This window comes from Homo sapiens, chromosome 3, assembly GCF_000001405.40.
Source record: "Homo sapiens chromosome 3, GRCh38.p14 Primary Assembly".
In the NCBI taxonomy this organism is placed as follows: Eukaryota; Metazoa; Chordata; class Mammalia; order Primates; family Hominidae; genus Homo; species Homo sapiens.
Genome location: NC_000003.12, coordinates 102,727,725 through 102,747,831, shown reverse-complemented (window position 1 = coordinate 102,747,831; position 20,107 = coordinate 102,727,725).

Sequence of the window (20,107 nt, the reverse complement as noted above, 5' to 3'; positions counted from 1 at the left end):
AGCCTGAAAAGTAGCATTAGAGTTTGCCAATTGGAAGCCGTTTAGTGAAAGAACTCAGAGAATTATGTTAGCTGGGAGGCACTGACAAAGATAGTGATTCTCATACGATAATCAGGTCAGAGGTATTTTTCAAAATTAAAGTACCTCTTTCCCAAAGGAAATGTCAAAGTAGATTATGGTAAAAGAAGTGTGTACTTTGAAATAAGGTTTTTGTTTTTCTAATACCTATCCTCCTCACAAGCTGAAAATTAATGGAAAGTGAAAGATTTGAGACAGCAAGAGTATTTTATTTTTCAAGAACAATAGTTTTGTTAGAAAGGAGAATAAAAAACATTATGAAAAAAAAAGATGGGGTTTAGGAAGAGCTTGTTTTTGTTGTTGTTTAGGATAAGGAAAGATTGGAGAAAGTTATAGACCAACAGCTAATACAAGAACAGAAGCTAAAGATGATAGAGAAAAGAGACTGAATGTCTTGCCCTGTCCCAGGGGCAGTGAGATATGATAGGACCCAGAGAAAACATGGGAGAGCAAGTAAAGAGGTTTTCGTAAGAGAAGGCAGTTTGTTAGGCAAGCAAAGTGGCCCAGACACCTCCTTATTTTCTTTCCTTCCTTCCTTCCTTCCTTCCTTTCTTTCTTTCTTTCTCTTTCTTTCTTTCTTTCCTTCCTTCCTTCTTTATTTCTTTCTTTCTTTCCTTCTTTCTTTCTTCCTCTCTCTCGCTCTTTCTTTTTTTCTGAGACAGGATCTCACTCTACCTCTCAGGCTGGAGTACAATAATGCAATCATGGCTCACTGCAGCCTCGCCCACTTCAGCTCAAGCAATGCTCCTACCCCAGCTTCCCAAGTAGTAGGGACCATAGGCATACATCACAGCACCCAACTAAATTTTTAAACTTTTTGTAGAAACAGGGTCTCACTATGTTTGCCAGGCTGGTCTTGGATGTTTGGGCTCATGGGAGCCTTCTGCCTCAGCCTCCCCACAGGCATGAGCCACCACACCCAGACCCAAACACCTTCTATACAGCTTCAATACTAACCAATTTCCTCCACTTTGTCATACCTGTACTTGAGGGAGAAAAATAAAAGGGAATGGTGGAAGGGACCAAAAGCTAATGACCAGTTGGTCTGTATAAAGGATTTCTACCCATTATTTTTCACTGAACAGCAGCCTTTTAGGATTATGAGATGCTATTATGATCCTAATTCTTGGTTGCATTTGAAAGCTGAAACAGAGAAAAGGCAGAGATGAAGTTCACAGTATGGATACCAATAATAAAATTGATAGGAATATCTCATGTGTACTCCAAATATTTAATTAACTAAATGAAAGGAAAACTGCAAGTCCTGATGCAGCAGGCTTGGTGACAAGTGTGGCACTCTGCTGTGCCACTGAGGATGTATAAACAGGCAGATGCTGATAGAAGTATTTCTAACCAAAGAAAATAGAATCGTTTTTTGTTTGTTGTTTCATTTGTTTCTCGTTGACTGAGAATCAAAACTTTACATGGAAAGTGGAATGGCAAGCGTTAACACTTAATAATTTTCTCATTCTAAATTTTTGTCCTTGGGAGAAAAAACTCACTTTAAATGAAATTCCAGGATCTGGCATATATTTGAGATACGTGTATTTCGCCTATCAATTGTCGATACACTTGAGAAAATGGTATACATGTTTTTGTGTCACCCACAAGTATATTCATGGAAAAAACAAGCCATTAATACCATGATCAAGAATGTAAAAGTGCCATCTAGAGGCTGGTGGAGCACCTTATAGGTCTATGATCCGTAAAATTCTTGTAGTTTGGAGTTATAGGGAAGATGCAAGAAGGGCCTCTACCTGATTTAAGTCATATGACATATATGCTTATTCAATGCTCCCACACTGCAATCCAACAAACTACTTGAAAGTAGAAATGCTACTCCAGTTCTACTTACTTTGAAACATTAACTCATGTTTTCAGCCAAGTGGCAGCACTGAATCTGCTTGTGATTATGGACATTCAACATTTTATGTGCCATTTAAGTACCTTCAGCATCAATTTTGCAGCTGGCAAACTATTGCTATTTATGTTTTCAGTGCATTTGAAATAATCTAGAAGTTATTTTACCACCATTAGACATTAAGAAAAGAACCAAATGTAAAATCATTACTTTGCCAATTTACTGTGAAACCCAAAGGAAATATCTCAAATGTATCATTTGTTAAATGTAAAAATGAAAATAAAAAGCAGTTCTTGGAACTTGTTAACAACATTTTGGTCAAGTAGATTTATCTAAAATATATTAAAGATTTTGAGACTTTTCCCATTTATATTGCTATAAAAATAATACAAAATAGCTGATTAAATATCTCCTATATGGCAAATACTAGCAGTAATATTATATGCCTTTTAATTCTAAATACCCAGTAAGTTAATCATAAACTCTGTTTTACGCATAAGGAAACTAAGGCTGCAATTTTTTTAAGTTACATGACTAGCTAATTAGTGATAGCCTGAATTCCAATACAGGAATGTCTTCATTCAAAGAGAGAATTCAGAGTCAATACTCTTATATTCTCAAATTATTGAGCCCTTTTAGAAATTCAGATATATATTTGTAAAACTCTGGAGCTAATAGATCTGTATATACAAACTATAATTATAAAATAGAGCTGCAATCCTCTAATTGAACTGCTAAATTTTCTTAACTCCTAATGTGTGAGGACCTGACAAAGAACAGTATGTAAAACTTCAGTACTCTGATTATCAGCATATTATAAGGTACTTAGGCCATTCATCAAAGCACTTCAAATCGATTATCATCCCTCCATCTCTCCTGAGTGCTCTTTTCCTATTTTCTCCTTGAGCTGAGCATTGTTGAAGGAGTATTTTGAACCATGAAGATTTGACCCACTACACATTTATGCTATTATTATCAGGATTCTGAGTGTTATTAGTCATCCCCTTATGCATCCTTTTTAAAATTCTCCAAGCCCCCAAATGCTGTTGAAGACTACCTGCCACCTGGAGCCTCCCACGCCACACCTCTTCACCCTACACTGGCTCCTTCAGTGATGGGACATTCTGAGCTTCAACTTGTACCTTTACTTCCCATTTTAATAATTCAGTGTCTATGTTCTGCCTTCCTTCTTTCCATTGACAGAAAAGATGACCTACTGCTTCTGATTCAAGTTAATTTATCCTTCTTGACTGCTGAAGCAACTTGTTACTATACTTAAATTTCCCCTTTTCAGCAATTCAGTCTGTTTGTCTTTGCCACATTCTTCTGCCTCAGTTTACACACTGCTGTAGGTTTTGTTGCAGACAGAATAATGGCTTCCGTAAGATGTCCACATCTTAATCCCACAACCTGTTAGTGTTACCTTGCACAGCAGAAGGGACTTTATAGATGGGATTAAATTAAGAACCTTGAGATGAGAAGTTTATCCTGGATCAAACAGGCAGTCCAGGTGTGCCCAACATAATCACAGGGGTCCTTAAAAGTGACAGAAGGAGATGGAAGAGGAGGCCCAGAGAAAAAGATGTGACAACACAAGCAAGGTCAGAGCAATACCACGTTAAAGAGACTTGACTTGCCTTTGCTAGCTCTGAAGATAAAGGAAGGGGGCCACAAGTGAGGAAATGCCAATGGCCTCTAGAACTGGAAAAGGCAAGGAAATTGATCCTTCCCAGAGCCTATAGAAAGGAATACAGCCTTGCCTACACTTTAATTTTAGCCCACTGGAATCCGTGTTAGACTTCTGACCTACAGACCTATTTTAAGTCACCAAGTTTGTGGTAATTTGTTATGACAGCAATAGAAAACATACAGTCTTTATCTGAGATTACTATTTTATTATTTTAAGGCTACTATTTTATTTCTCTGATTCATTTTGTATTTCAGAGTATCAAATTTGTAGGCTATATCTACTACTTCTATTAATTTTTAATTTATTTTCTCCCTTCTTAATGTGAACTTTTTATTTTCACACTCAATAAAAATCATTCTCTTATAAGCCTTTAAGGACAGTTTTCTTACCAATCTGATGGAAGCTTCTTCCTTTGACATCTTCAGAATTTTTTATTCTGTTGACTTCCCCTTCTGTGTAGAAATTACTTCCATCCTTGGTTTCTCTGATCTTTCATAGGTTCCTCATTTTTCCCTTGCCTACTGAGGCTCACCCCATTTAGATTATTCAGGACACGTGTGGCCACCTTTGGCTGTTGCCTCAACAAAAGCCAACATACTCTGAGAAACATCGAGACTAGCAGCTTCTTGTTTTTCTTCTTATTATTATTATTTATTATTATTTATTTGTTTATTTATTTATTTATTTATTTGAGATGGAGTCTCGCTCTGTCACCCAGGCTGGAGTGCAATGGCGCGATCTCGGCTCACTGCAACCTCCGCCTCCTGGGTTCACGCCATTCTTCCGCCTCAGCCTCCCGAGTAGCTGGGATTACAGACGTCCGCCACCATGCCTGGCTAATTTTTTGTAGTTTTAGTAGAGACGGGGTTTCTCTGTGTTAGCCAGGATGGTCTCGATCTCCTGACCTCGTGATCTGCCCACCTCGGCCTCCCAAAGTGCTGGGATTATAGGCATGAGCCACCACGCCCGGCCTGTTTTTCTTTCCAAGCACTGCTTCACTCTTCAGGAGGGTGAGATATGCTCTCCATCCTCTGTCTCCATGGCTTAATACCTTTGGCTTGCTGGCAGCTGATTTTCTCAGGTGGTTCCCATTTACTTCAAGACTTCTGGCTATAGCTGTAAACTGGGAAGACTCTACAATGAGCAAGAGTCTGAGAATTTAAGCATGGTTTCCTAAGTTAGTTGTGCTTTTCTAAAAAAAAAAAAAAGAGAGAGAGAAGGAAGAAAGGAAGGAAGGAAGGTAGGAAGGAAGGAGAGAGAGAGAAAGGAAAGAAGGAAGGCAGGCAGGCAGGCAGGCAAGCAGGCAGGCAGGCAGGCAGGAAGCAAGCAAGCAAGCAAGCTGGCCAGGCATGGTGGCTCACGCCTGTAATCCTTTGGGAGCACTTTGGGAGGCTGAGGCCGGCAGATTACCTGAGGTCAGGTGTTGGAGACCAGCCCAGCCAATATGGAAAAACCCCATCTCTACTAAAAATACAAAAATTAGCAGGTGTGGTGGTGTGCACCTGTAATGTCAGCTACTCGGGAGGCCGAGGCAGGAGAATTGCTTGAACCCGGGAGGCAGAGGAGCCAAGATCACACCACTGCTCTCCATCCTGGGTGACAGAGTGAGACTCTGTATGTCTGTAAATAAATAAATAAATAAATAAAATAAAATAGCTGAATCAGCTAGATTATATATAAGAAGGAACTCTTACTGATTTAAATTAATCTTTGTCTTAACTATACTACTGAAGGTTGTAAAAAGCAGGCAAATTTCAAATGTTAAGAGTTCTGAATAATCCACAAACTAGATAACAATTCCTTGAATCTTTGCATTAATCAAATAGTCTTACTGGATTTTGTTGATAAGCATATAGTCAATAAAAACAATGTTTCTAAAGATTATAAAGCAATTGGAAGCATGCTAATGCCCTAATGCCAAGTGAAACAACAATATTGAAACTGTATGATTGCTATTTAAATAAGCCTAAAGTTACAAAAAGTTCTTAAAATAAATTGTCAGGTTCAGGGTTAGGTTCCAGGCCAAGCTGAGGGCTGAGGGGAATGGGTGGACGTGGGGCAGGGAGCTGGAAGAACACTTGAGAGACAGTGTTCTTTAAATGAGACATGGCTTTATTCAGCAGCCCCTCACAGGGTCAGTGTTACATTTATAACCTACACAAAAAATAGCGACTGAGAGCCAGGTGGGGAGCTTCTCTATGTTGTGTCTACGTGGCTATGATTACATAAGACACAGGACTGTGCGCCTTGCATCCCAATCCCGCTGAATCATCAAGGCTGTTTACCCTGGCCCATGCCTGCTGCCCAGTGCCTACTTGGCTTCAGCACAGCCATGTTCCTTACACCCTGCCCCCAGGCCGAGCGGATCCTCTTGGTGGGGACCCATGCACATACAGCAGCACCCTGGACCCATAGGCCATAGCAACAATACAGAGAACAACAACCCACCACTAATACCCCTGCTATGCTACCTAAGATTATAAGAGCCCAACATAGGCCAGAGCCCAGAGATGCCCACCATCTCTGCGGGGGGTCATCAGTAAGGTGTTCAATCACCTTAATCTCCTGTGACACCCCCTTGTAAAGCTGTCATTATATTCCCGTGGTTGTCAGGGGTAATAAACGTACAGCACTGTGTCCCTACAAGGGCACAGTTACCACCTTGGGCAGCTATGACTGTCTAAGGCCATCAGTTTTGCAGCGCCACCTTCCTGATCTGGTCAGCTTCATCAGTGAACAAAAGGAGAGCAACTCAGGTGTAATTCAGGGCCCAAGCTGCGTGCTCTGCAAAGGCTACAACCTGCTTTTCCACAGTGATGACACCTGCTCCAGGGATAGTTATAGCTAAGGGATAAAACCACCAGGGGGCAAGCTGCACCGCAAAAAACAGGAACACAGTGGCTCCCAGTTATGCGGGTGGCCAGGAAATGTGGGAAGCACAGTGGCAGCCACATAGGGCCACCTCCAGGTACAACGTCCAGTCCAATTGGCTGGCAGAGATGGCCATTCTGTGTCCCCACAGACCCATAAACTCCCAAGGGGCACAAAATCCGTGGGGCCCCAGCCTTGGCAAGTCTGCTTGTTCCACCACACCCTTGTTGTGGTGACATGTGTTTTGTTTGCACAAACCTCAGCAGGCAACCATCTTACAGTGACTTTACCACAGTGCTGCTCTATACATTATGGTACCTGCAATGGGGGCACTACATGTTCTCCCATTAGCCAAGCTCATCCATCATGGACACTACAAGTCAGCCAGGGGGCAGGCTTGCCATGGGTTCTGCGACAACCCCTGTTCAAAGCTCACCGTGTTGCATCCTACCTGTTGTCTGCAGGACCCCAAGTCTCTAGCCATGTCCACTTCTGCATAGAAGCTGGATGCACGTGCCAGAACAAGCTGTCCCCAGCTGCTGCTGGAAGAGTTGTGCAGATCCAACAGTTGGAGACATTGGTCACCTCGGCGTAGGTGTAGGCCCCGTCCATGATGCTGTTGGAGCATGCCAACCTGCAGCTGGAATGACAAAGCAGGCACAGGTACTAACAAGGGCAAATCACGTCCCTCAGGCAAAATACAGGCTAACTTTTCATCCCTGGATAACAATGCAGCTGCCAACGGCTTTTTCCCTGGGCGATGATACCACACATTCTCAGCTCCCTATGGTTCTTTTGAGTCTTGTATCCATTACAAAGTCACAGGAGAGCTTGTAATAATAGGCCACACAGACAGTACATATGTCCCCCAGAGGAGGGTTCCTTCCTTGGCCATTCCTCTATGAAAGGTCAATCATGGAGGCCACGCATTAAATACCCAAGGAGTAACATGTAAGTCATACAGCAGGCCCTCCCCTCAGGAGGCTAAAATAGCCAACCATCGGCAATGAGGGGTTTGGAGGGTCCATGGCCAACACCAGGTTTTCTGTTCCTGTGCCTTCAGAGGCTTTGGGGCAGGCAACAATAGATTACTGTTTGTCCCCATACATGATTGGAGGAGCTCATCCTTGGTGTGTATCTGCAGCTGGATGAGGGTGGAGGCCTAGTGTAACAAAGCCTCCACCAGGGCTGGGCCACCTTTCCATGGCTACTCATTCAAAATTTGAAGCACCAGATCCAACCCAGAACTCCATCCCTGCCAAGATGGGGGAGTAAAAAGCAACTGTGACCCATTCTTCAAGAATCCGTTATATCGCTCGATCATGCCAGCGGCTTGTGGGTTATAAAGAACATGAAATCCCCATCATATGTCCATCTGCTGTGCCCACTGTTGTACCTGCTGTCCAATGAAATGTGTTCCCCCATCACTTTCAACAGCCAAGGGATGGCCACATAAGGCAAGTAAGTGTTGTAGGGCTCGAACGCTGTGTTGCTGGTTGACCACCCTGCAAAGGTAGGTGAACAACAAGCCAGTGGCTGTGTCTGCAGCCGTCAGTGCATATGTGTAGCCCTGCGATTTTGGCAGCGGCTCAATGTAATCTATTTGCCATCTGGTAACACAGCAAATGGTAACCATCATTTGCTGTGCTGTGTTACACTGGGCAGTTGTCTCTGTCTGGGGTATGCCTGAGCACATGCTGGGCACTTCCGGCAGGCCTCCAAAATGTCCTGTGAAGGCAAAGACAGACCCCAGGGCCTATTGACCTGCCTGTTGCATCAGCTTACTCCCTGCATGTCTCAGTTTCCTGTGTAGCCACAAAGCTACATCTTTTGTAGGTGCCGATATCAGAACTTGGCTAAGCTATCTGCCTCATCATTACCGGGGGTGGCCAAAGGCACATGACCTGACACATGATAGACTGTTACATCTTTCTGGTGAACTATTTCCCAGAGGTCATGCCACATGGTTTGGCCTACATGCCAATCCTGTAATTTCCAAGTAGTCAGCCACAAAGTTAAACCTCGATAGGCTGCCCAGCTATAGGTGTAAATTACCATAGGTGAGTCCTCCTTAGTAATCACCATCCACACCGCTCTAAGTTTAGCCCATTGGCTGCTTTGTCTGCACCCAGTAAGTGCTAGGCTGGACTGCTACAACAGTCCAGGCAACAGTAACACCCTGGTTGGACCCATCTGTATACCATGCCCTATCAGGAATTGGAAGGTACCCTTCTTTAAATGGTGATGGCTTCAGGCCCCATGGCCTTATCTTGCATTAGAACTACAGGCCCTAAAACTTCTTGTAATTCTGCTGCTAAGGGGCTTGTACTCAGCATACTCCATTGTTCTAAGTAGGCACCCCACTTCACTAACGTGGATGTCTGTGCTGTCCCAGTCAGGGGGGTTGTTACCCATGAATGCACCCATCCTGCTATTGGGTAAGTTGTCCGCACTATGACTGTAGCCTGTCCTGTCATACTCTCACAGGCCTGAAGAGCAGCAAATACAGCAGCTAATTGCCTCCCTATCAGTGAATACTGGAGCTCAGCTCCCAGTAGGACCAAAAGCCTGCTGGCATACTCAAGTGTTCTGTGCAATGCTATAGGCCCTAACTAAAACTATGTGTGGTCACATGCACGTCCAGTTTAAATGAGCACCCCTGGTCAACTATCCATAGGGCTTGTGTCCACTGCATAGCCTGCTTGGCTACCAGAAAGGCTCTTTCAGCCTTCTTATCCCAATCCCAGGCAAGAGGGGCATTGTCACTTCTAAACCTGTAAGAGAATCAGAGGTTAACATAAAATCAACGTAATGAAACAGGTGGACCCCTTTTGGACATTCCCAGGCACCTAATTCCATGGCAACAAGACCATGACAAATGGTGGGGCTATGCATATAGCCCTGCAGCAACACTGTGAAAGTCCATTGTCGTCCTTCCCATGTGAAGGCGAACTGTTCATCACTCTCTGGAGCAATGTTTATGGAGAAAAATGCATTAGCTAAGTCCACTACGAAGTGGTACTGTCCCAATTCCACTGTCAAACAGTCCATAAATCCGTGATGGAGGGTACAGCCACATGCAGAGGGGTGTCACTTTATTCAGTTCCCGATAATCCACTGTCATTCGCCAAGTTCCGTCAGGCTTTCTGACTGGCCCTATGGGGGAACTGGAGGGGCTATGGGTGCCATGCACTATTTGCACCTCTTCTCACTTCTGAATAGTCTCAGTTATCTCTGTATGCCCCACTGGCAAATGGTATTGATGACTGGAAGTAACCGGTCAGGGTTGTGACAGAACTTGGGGCTGGTGATGTGTATGTCCACGCAGTACCAGCTTTACTACATGAACCCGGAGTCTGAATTCTCCAGCCATGGTGTGCAAGTCCAGACCATACAAAATGTCCACCCCCAGAATATATTCAGGTTCAGGAGAAACATACACCGTATACAGGTGGGGAGCCAAGCGGCCAATACCAAGATGCAGAGACACAGGTTTCACTTTCACCAACTGGCCCCCAAAACCATCAATGAATGCAGCTTTGCCCAGAAATTTTTCCATGTTGCTATAAGCAAAACTGCTATTTTGCCCCGTCTTGGAACTTCTGTTCCAAGGACAAATGGAATTGCTGCGTTCTCTGGAACTGCTGCTCCAGGGACAATTGCCTCTGCAGAGTCAACCAGTATCTACCAGTGCTAGGACCTGCTGTACATTGGTGGGGGACCAGTTGCCAGTTCCACATAAGGCCTCCAGTCATCCACCCCCCAGCCCCCAACCTGAGCCAGGCACCTCAGCCAGTTCCCTAATCAAACAGGAAGGTCTCTTTGCCCATTTGCAAATAGTCCTTGAGCTGCAACATCTGGGCAGGGCTGGGTTGAGCCGCAGTATTTTGCCCCCTCTTGAACATTCTCTGGAATTGCTGCTCCAGGGACAGTTGCCTCCACAGAGCCAGCAGCATTCCACTGGGTTGCCTGTCAGTTTTCTCCTGAGCAATCCCAGCTGCAATTAAATCAATCCACATCTGCATGCGGGTCACCCACTGGGGCTCCTTTTTATCTCGTGGGGTGGTTACCAGCAGAAGGGGCACCTTCTTTTCTTTATGGCACGGATTCCCCAGTCCTGCTGATGGCCTTCTGTCTCCTTGAGGGCTGCCATAGCAGTAGTCACTTCATATATATGGCACCCCACATATAGGGTGAGAACAGCAGCCACAGAGCCAAAAGCACTTGGGGGCACTGGGCCCAGTGCAAGATCCCTCATGTGAGAGGTAAAACATTCATTATCTGGCCCCTGAGTATTCAGATCAAACATAGCCTGCTGCATACCCATCTCCCAGAGTACCTGCACCAAGTCAGTAGATGATTGCCATTTACTCACAATTTCTGGTATCTCTCCAACATCATTCCAAACAGTTAATATGGCTGTCATCAGCCACTTGGTTAACATGTGGTCACCTTGCCCTTGTGCCAACCATTGGCACAGCTGCAGCTGCTGATGAAGGGAGGGGTGAGATGTGATAGAAGCCAGCTTCTCCATCACGGAGGCAGAGTAAGAAATGCTGTCAGTCCCCTCATCCCAAAGATAGAGTATCCAGGCTAGGAGGGCCTCCCCTGGGTGCTGCCAGCACTGTTTACCCATATCCTGCAACTCAGTGAGGGTATAAGCACAATAAGAGGTGTGGTCCACCACTGTGGGTGGTCCCTGGGCTGTCCCATGGGGTCCCATCGGCTGCTCATGTTCTATCTTCTGATGGATCACAGGACGAGCCCATAGCAAAAGAGCCTCCTCCTCCTCAGGATCAGGCCACGCAGGAGTGTCCAGCCTGGAGGACGGGCTCAGGGTTGCACCAACAGCTGTTGCCAACTCCTGCTCCAGGATGTTTATCTGAGCCTGTAAGTGCCCTGCTTGTGACTGGAGGTCCTTCACCCTCCAGGTTTTGCTCCAAGCTGTGCATTTGGGCCCCCAGGCACCCAACTTGCACCTGAAGCTCCCAAACCTGCACCGCGTCCAGCAGGGACTGAGCATGTACTTCACGTAGCACAGTCAGAAACGCCCATCCGATTCTGCTGGCGAAGGTGAGGTCTTTCTTGGTGCTGTGAGCTTCCAGCTGCTTCAGTGCCTTCTCACACTCACAGGAGACCCATCCACTGCCTCCCACATTTCCACTGGGGCCCATTCAAGCAGCACCTCTGACACTAGGTACCACAGCCCATCTGCGGCCACGTAGCCAACCTGAGAACCCCAAAGGCTGACAACCCACTCACCTCATCATGCCAACTACGCCAACTGTCAGGTTCAGGGTTAGGTTCCAGCCCAAGTTGAGGGCTGAGGGGAGTGGGTGGACATGAGACATGAGGCAAGGAGCTGGAAGAACACTCAAGAGACAGTAGGTAAATGAGACATGGCTTTATTTAGCAACCCCTCACAGGGTCAGTGTTACATTAATACACTACACAAACAATAGTGGCTGGGAGCTGGGTGGGGAGCTTCTCTATGTTGTGTCTACACGGCTATGATTATATAAGACATGGGACTGTGCAGCTGTGCCCCAATCCCACTGAATAAACAAGGCTGTTTACCCTGGCCTATGCCTGCTGCCCAATGCCTGCTTGGCTGTAGCACAGCCATGTTCCTTATATAAATTTACCAAAATATCAGCAATTTATATTCTAATACAGTATGATAGTTATCTTTAATATTCATGTGTTACTTTGGTTTAAAAAATTTTTAAAGGAAAGATTGGTTTTAGAACACAAGTAAAGTTTAAATGGAATCTACCATCAGATAACTTGCTCTCAGCTTGGAAAACCCTGGTGTTCCTTCTCCATGGCACCTAATATTGATCACGTGTCACTTATTTTATTCCATAAGCTAAGTTAAGAAGGAATTCTGATCCTACATCATGGCTATCCCCATGTTATTTATACTTTAGGAAGCAAGGTACATGTGGAATTATTTTCACACTAATGCAGACCAATTTTTTGTGTTTTTAGGATATGCCAAGCACACCTTTATAAATGAGAATTTCTTATAATTAATGATTCAAACAACAATAAGACATCACCAATATGTAATAAAGTATGACTTGGCACAAGCTACATTTTTCTCCTTTGGAGACAGAAATGCATATTGACAGGTTCATCTTTTTTAAAAAGACCAGCATTTAAATATCTAAAGTCACCAAATAATCTCTACACAATAAAAAATAAGTTGTAAGAATTGCATGTGAAAGAAAGTCAACTTCTAAACAAAAAGCCCACCACTGTAACTGCCCAACAGCTTCACCTTGCTTGCTGCCTAGACAGAGCCAGATTTATCAAGATGGGAATTCCAATAGGGAAAGAGTTATTTATGCAGAGCTGTCTGTGTGGGAGACCAGAGTATTATTATTACTCAAATCGATCTCTGAGAACCCAGGGATCAGAGTTTTTAAGGATAATTTGGTAGTTAGGGCACCAGTGATGTGGGAGTTTAATTGGTAAGGTTGAAAATGAACTTATAGGTAGTTGAAAGTGTCCTCTAGCGCTAAGTCAGTTCCTAGGTGGGGCCACAAGACCAGATGAGTCAGTTTATCAGTCTGGGTGGTGCCAGCTGATCCATCAGGTGCAGGGTCTGCAAAATATCTCAAGCACTGATATTAGGTTTTACAATAGTGATGTTATCCCTGGGAGCAATTTGGGACATTTAGAATCTTGCAGCCTTCAGCTGCATGACTCTTAAACCATAATTTCTCATCTGGTGGCTAATCTGTTAGTCCTACAAAGGCAGTCTAATCCCCAGGCAAGAAGGGGTTCGTTTTGGGAAAGGGTTGTTATATCTTTGTTTCAAACTATAAAGTAAGTTTCTCCCAAAATTAGTTTCACCTACACCCAGGAATAAACAAGAACAGCTTGGAGGTCAGAAGCAAGAGGGAGTTGGTTAGGTCAGATCTCTCTCACCGTCTCAGTTATAATTTTGCAACGGTGATTTCACAATCACCACTGAAATATCATGATTAAATATGTGCTAAATAGCAATGACAGATGCAGACACTTTCTAAAATAAAGCAAAACAAGGATTTCAGGAATGTATAATTTAATTTGCATCTTAGGGGGTATATTGTTATCTTCCTGCTAAGGAATTTACATTCATAACTTGCCATGCACAATTACAATATAGAGAGGTCTTGGATGTTTTTGTTAGTATTTCTTAAAAAAATAACACAAAACATAGAACAATAACTTCATAATGCTGACCACAGTAAGCAAATCATTTGGAATGCCTCTCTTGTCATGTTAGCAAAGTAAATAATGAATTTGCAAATTCCAGAGATTTCTGGGATTACAGTCGTACTAATGTTTTGGCCCAGGGTCCCTGCTGGCTCATACCTTTTCAAGTCAGTGTTTTTGTAGTCACTATTCCTTCCCACATAAATACTTGCACACAGTGAAACAATGAGACTCCTGGCATACCCATAGGCTTTCTTAATTCTTCTTTTTTTGTTCTGTTTCTGCTTTCCAGCTAAATGACCGAAAAGGGATGTTTTACTGTGGATTCTTGGCTCCCCTACCTTTTAAATAATTTTTTTCTTCTTTCTTCATTTTAACATAGATGTTTTTAAAGCTAAACATTTATCTTTTCTTTGAAATTGCCTTTTCAATTCATTACATTGCTGTATGTTGATTTCCATTCTCAAGTCTGTTCTCAGACTAAACATGGTACACAATGTTTTGCTAGAAGAGTGGGGTACAATATTATTCAAACTTTATCCTTCATCATTTATTATCACTAATGTACTGATTTCCTTAATTAAGCCCTCCCCAGTGGATCACCTTGTTCACAGTCTTCTAGAGCTGTACTGTTCAATATGGTAGCCACTAGCCCCATGTGGCTTGTATCTAGATAATTTAAATTTAAAGTAATTACGTTACCAGAAAGGTGGTTCCAATCCAGACCCCAAGGAAGGCAGTTCTTGGATCTCATGCAAGAAATAATTCTGAGTGAGTCCATAGAGTAAAGTGAAAGCAAGTTCATTAAGAAAGTAAAGAGATAAAGAATAGCCACTACATAGGCAGAGCAGCCCTGAGGGCTGCTGGTTGCCCACTTTTATGGTTATTTCTTGAGCATATGCTAAACAAGGTGAGAGACAGGACTAGCTGGATTTCCTGGGCCGACTAAGAATCCCTAAGCCTAGCTGGGAAGGTGACCACATCCACCTTTAAACACGAGGCTTGCAACTTAGCTCACACCTGACCAATCAGAGAGCTCACTAAAATGCTAATTAGGCAAAAACAGGAGGTAAAGAAATAGCCAATCATCTATTGCCTGAGAGCACAGCAGGAGGGGCAAGGATGGGGATATAAACCCAGGCATTTGAGCCAGCAACAGCAACCCCTTTGGGTCCCCTCCCTTTGTATGGGAGCTCTGTTTTCACTCTACTTCATTCTATTAAATCTTGCAACTGCACTCTTCTGGTCTGTGTTTGTTATGGCTGGAGCTGAGCTTTCGCTCGCCATCCACCACTGTTGTTTGCCGCTGTCACAGACCCGCCACTGACTTCCATCCCTCCGGATCCAGCAGGGTGTCCGCTGTGCTCCTGATCCAGCGAGGCGCCCATTGCCACTCCCGATGGGGCTAAAGGCTTGCCATTGTTCCTGCATGGCTGAGTGCCTGGGTTTGTCCTAATCGAGCCGAACAGTAGTCACTGGGTTCCACAGTTCTCTTCTGTGACCCACGGCTTCTAATAGAGCTGTAACACTCACCACATGGCCCAAGATTCCATTCCTTGGCATCCGTGAGGCCAAGAACCTCATGTCAGAGAACACGAGGCTTGCCACCATCTTTGAAGCGGCCCGCTGCCATTTTGGAAGCGCCCATCACCATCTTAGGAGCTCTGGAAGCAAGGACCCCCCGGTAACGAAGAGGTAGATTATTCATGGGTTTTCTGGTAGAGGGGTGGGCAATTCCAGGAGCTGAGGGTTCTTCCCCTTTTTAGACCATATAGGGTAACTACCAGACATTGCCATGGCATTTGTAAACTGTCACGGTGTTCATGCGTGTGTCTCTTAGTATGCTAATACCTTATAATTAGCATATAAGGAGCTGTGAGGAAGACCAGAGTTCACTCTCCTCGCCATCTTGGTTTTGGTGGGATTTAGCCAGCTTCTTTACTGCATACTGTTTTATCAACAAGGTCTTTATGACGTTATTCTTGTGTCTATCTCCTATCTCATCCTGTGACTAAGAATGCCTAACTTAATGGGCTTGCAGCCCAGCCGGTCTCAGCCTTATTTTACCCAGCCCCTATTCAAGATGGAGGCACTCTGGTTCAAACGCCTCTGACAATTACATTTAAATAGAATTTAAAATTTAGTTTCACAGCCACACTAGCTACATTTGAAGAGCTCAGTCACTATATGTGGCTAGTGGCTATGATCTGAGGCAGCATAGACTATCTAGGAAATTCCCATCATTGCATAAAGGTCTATTGAATGGCACTTATTTAGATGAAGAAGTCACATAGTCTGAGGAGCTGGAAATCTAATCTGCCTTCTTTAAATGTAACATGTAGAAGGTAATACAGTTCTCCCTCACTGTCAGCGAGGGATTGGTTTCAGGACCCCCATAGATACCCAAATTTGTGAATGCCAAAATTTAAGTCCCCTATATAAAATAGTGTAATATTTGCATACAACCTACATACATCTTGTAGTGTACCTTAAATATATAATATAAATGCTATGTAAATAGTTGGTATAATGTTATACAGTATACAAATTTATACTGTATACAAATTTTTTATTTGTATTATTTGTATTATTTTTTATTGGGTTTTTAAAAAATATTTTTGATCCTCAGTTGGTCGAATCCAAAGATGGGGAGCCTGTGGATACTGAAGGCCAACTGTACTACAGGTCAGAAATTCTTTGTTCCTTAATCAATGTAGCAAATGTAAAATGTATTAGGTAGAATGTGTTGATTAATGTGCAGGTGAAAACTAGAATAACATATTAAGATTATGCATCAATAAGACCACATTACACAAAAGGGAAAATAAAACATTTATGTGATATACTTACATTTCCTGCCTGTGATTAAAACTCTGCTTGTTTCTTGTAAACAATCCTGGGCACTACTGAAGCTCACTTAGTCCTAAATTTGTCACACACTGTGATGGTTTTGATATGATTTGGTTGTCTCCATCAAATCTTGTGTTAAAATTTGATCCCCAATGTGGTGGTATTGGAGGTGGGGCCTAGTGGGAGGTGTTTGGGTCTTAGGGGCAGAGCCCTCATGAATGGCTTGGTTCCTTTCTTGAGGTAGTGAGCTCTCACTGTCTTGACACTGGATTAGTTCCCCTGGCAATAAATTAGTTACTGAGTGAGTGGGTTGTTATAAAGCCAGGATGCCCTTCAGATTTGCTCTCTCCTCACACATGTTTTTCCCTTAATCTTCTCTGCCATGTTTGGACACAGCACAAAAGCCTTATCCAGAAGCCAAGCAGATGCCAGTGCCATGCTTTCTGTACAGCCTGAAGCACCATGAACTAAATAATCCTCTTTTCTTTATAAATTACCCAGTCTCAGGGACTCCTTTATAGCAAAGCAAAACAGACACACACCCACTATGTGCAAGTTGATGATTTATACATTTTGTTGCAGGAGGGGTATTTTCAGGTTTTGTGAGGTCTTGAAACTTAGACAATTTGCAAAGCGCTTAAAAAAAGAAAACCCAAATTGCAAGTATATAAAACAACGATTATATGAATACTTTGGCAAGACATCTTGCAGAATTTTGGGAGGAGCCTGTGCAAGCAAGGAGCCGTGAAGTTTTGTCTTGTTTGATTTTTATGTTTTTTTTTCTGATGGTTCATCCTGAAAAGCCCTGAAGTTTAAGCTTTACTAGTTTACTGTAAAGCCATATATGAATATGAGACAGAATGTAACAAAGTGCTATGTTGATACAGCAGGAGGAAATAACAATTAGTGGAAGGACTGGAAATGGCATTTTCATAGAAAAAGGACTAGAAAGAAATACTTCATAATGTTAAAATAGTAGCACTTACTCCTTTTTTGTTGTTTTTTGAGACAAAGTCTTGTTCTATCACCTAGGCTACAGTGCATGGCATGATCAAAGCTCACTGCAGGCTTGAACTCCTGGGCTCAAGTGATCCTCCCACCTCAGCCTCCTGAGTAGCTGGGAGCCCAGTGGTAAGATACCATGCCTGGCTAATTTTTTCCTTTTTTTTTCTTTTTTTTTTTAGTTTTTGTTAGAGACAGGGTCTCTCTGTGTTACCAGGCTGGTCTCAAACCCCTGGACTCAAGCAATCCTCCCACTTTGGTCTCCCAAAATGCTGGGATTACTGGTGTGAACCACCACACCTGGCCAATGTTTATTCTTTCTTTGTTTGTTTGCTTTTCTTTCTTTTTTCTTTTTCTTTCTTTTACTTTTATTCTCTCTTTTTTTTTTTTTTTCTGAGACAGAATCTTGTTCTGTTGCCCAGGCTGGAGTGCAGTGGTCTGATCTCAACTTACAGTAGCCTCAGCCTCCCAGGCTCAAGTGATCCCCCCACCTCAGCCTCCTAAGTAGCTGAGATTACAGCTGTGTGTCACTGTGTCCAGCTAATTTTTTAAGAAAAATTTTTGTAGAAACAGAGTCTCACTATGTTGCCCAGGCTGGTTTCAGACTCCAGGGCTCAAGTGATCCTCCTACCTTGGCCTCCCAAAGTGCCAGGATTACTGGTGACCAGTGCTTACTCTTGACATGAGAAATTTGTTAGGGCAAGGAAGTTGTTTTCATATTTTACTTTCATATTTCTCACAACTTTTATAGTGAAAACATGTTGCATAACTTGTGTTTAAAAATAGTCTGCCTATTTTTTTAATACACCCTCATACACACAATGCAGGGGTGGGGAGTGGTGATGTTTGAACTAAACATTCAAGACTGGCTTGATAGTAAAAGATGGGAAAGTTTTTTAGTCAGTCTGAGATGCCGTAACAAAATACCATAGAATGGGTGATTTAAAATCAGACATTTGTTTTCCACAATTCTGAAAACTGGGAAGTGCAAGATCAGGGTGCCAGCCTGGTGGGTTTGTGGTGAGAGCTCTTCACCTGGTTTGCAGAGGGCTGCCTTCTGGCTGTATCCTCACTTGACTAGGGTAAGGAGCAAATTATCTGGTTTCTTTTTCTAGGGCACAAATCCCATCATGAGGATGGTACTTTTGTGGCCTCCTGTCAAGCTAATTACCTCCCATATACCCCATCTCTTAATACCATCACATTGGAGGTTATAGTCTCAACATGTGAATTTTAGGGGGAACACAAACATTTAGTCCATAATAGTGAGGTCCAATCCTGAAGGGGAAAATAGAAGGTGCAACTATATGGAAGTGAAAGGTGAATCAAATGTTTGAGCATCTGTTATTAATAGAAGGCAGTCTGTTTTCATGTCTGAGTGGTTTCATATAACAACGCTTTCCACCCAGTATAATGTAACCCACATCTACAAGCTCATATCTTGGCATTCTAGGAAGAAAAGAAGTTGTGATCGTCCAAAATATATTAAAACTTAAAATATAATTTAATAATTACTTATATAAAATGTAAAATGCAAGTCTTCACGCTGGAACCAAATAAAAGAAATTCACTGCGTGTTCTTATAGACATAGACTCCAGTCCCTGTGTCAGGGTGAAACCTTTTCAGGTGTTTATTTTTCTTTCATTAACATCAAATAAAGAAAGATAATAAAAAAATGCAAGTTTTAGAGTTTAGGTGAATGGATATTTTGGATAGTGTTTATTGAGTATCTTTTGTTAAATTTATAGGACTCTTTCCGTATACCTTGTGAATTCTAAGTTTTTCTCTAGAGCTGTTTGCTTTGTAGTTTGCATGGTTCTAGAACCAAAACAAGCATTGTAAATCAAGACAATGTATTTCAGCCTAACAGATCTTCCAGGGAGTTCCTGCTGAAAGAGCCTATCAATGAATAAATCAATATGCCACCGTAATCATAGGAATGGCCTCCCTGAGTCTCTTGATTAAAGGTTTAACAGCTTCAGTTGTCTTTGTTCTGGAACACTGATATTCCACAAGCAGAATCAAGATTTCAACTCTAAAAAGTCATTTTACTAACATTTAAAAAATATTTACTTTGTAAAAGATACTTTACTGCATTGATAATACAAAATAATAAAAATATATCCTCCAACAACAGATTTCTCCAAGAAGTCAGTCTTAGTTGAGAAACAGAATAAGTAGACAGTTATGGAATAGTATAAGAAGTTCTGTGGTAGAAATTAGCACTCTGTGTTTCTACAACCAAGTATACAAGTGAGCTTGTCAGGCAAAGGAATATGTAAAGTAAGAGTAAAAATCTAATGAGAAAATTAAAAATAATATGAGTTGACCATATTTTTAAAATATTACTCCTGACAATCATGGTTTTATGTAACATATTTATTGTGTATTCGTATTTTTGCAGGAAATTGTTCCCAGTTCAAAAAATAGAATTAACCTTTTTAACACATTTCAGTACTCACTAAAGAACATAGTGTTCCACTGAAAACGTCACTAACTCTAGCTGTTCCCACCAATTCTATTCAAACTGGAATTGTAAAACTCTTTT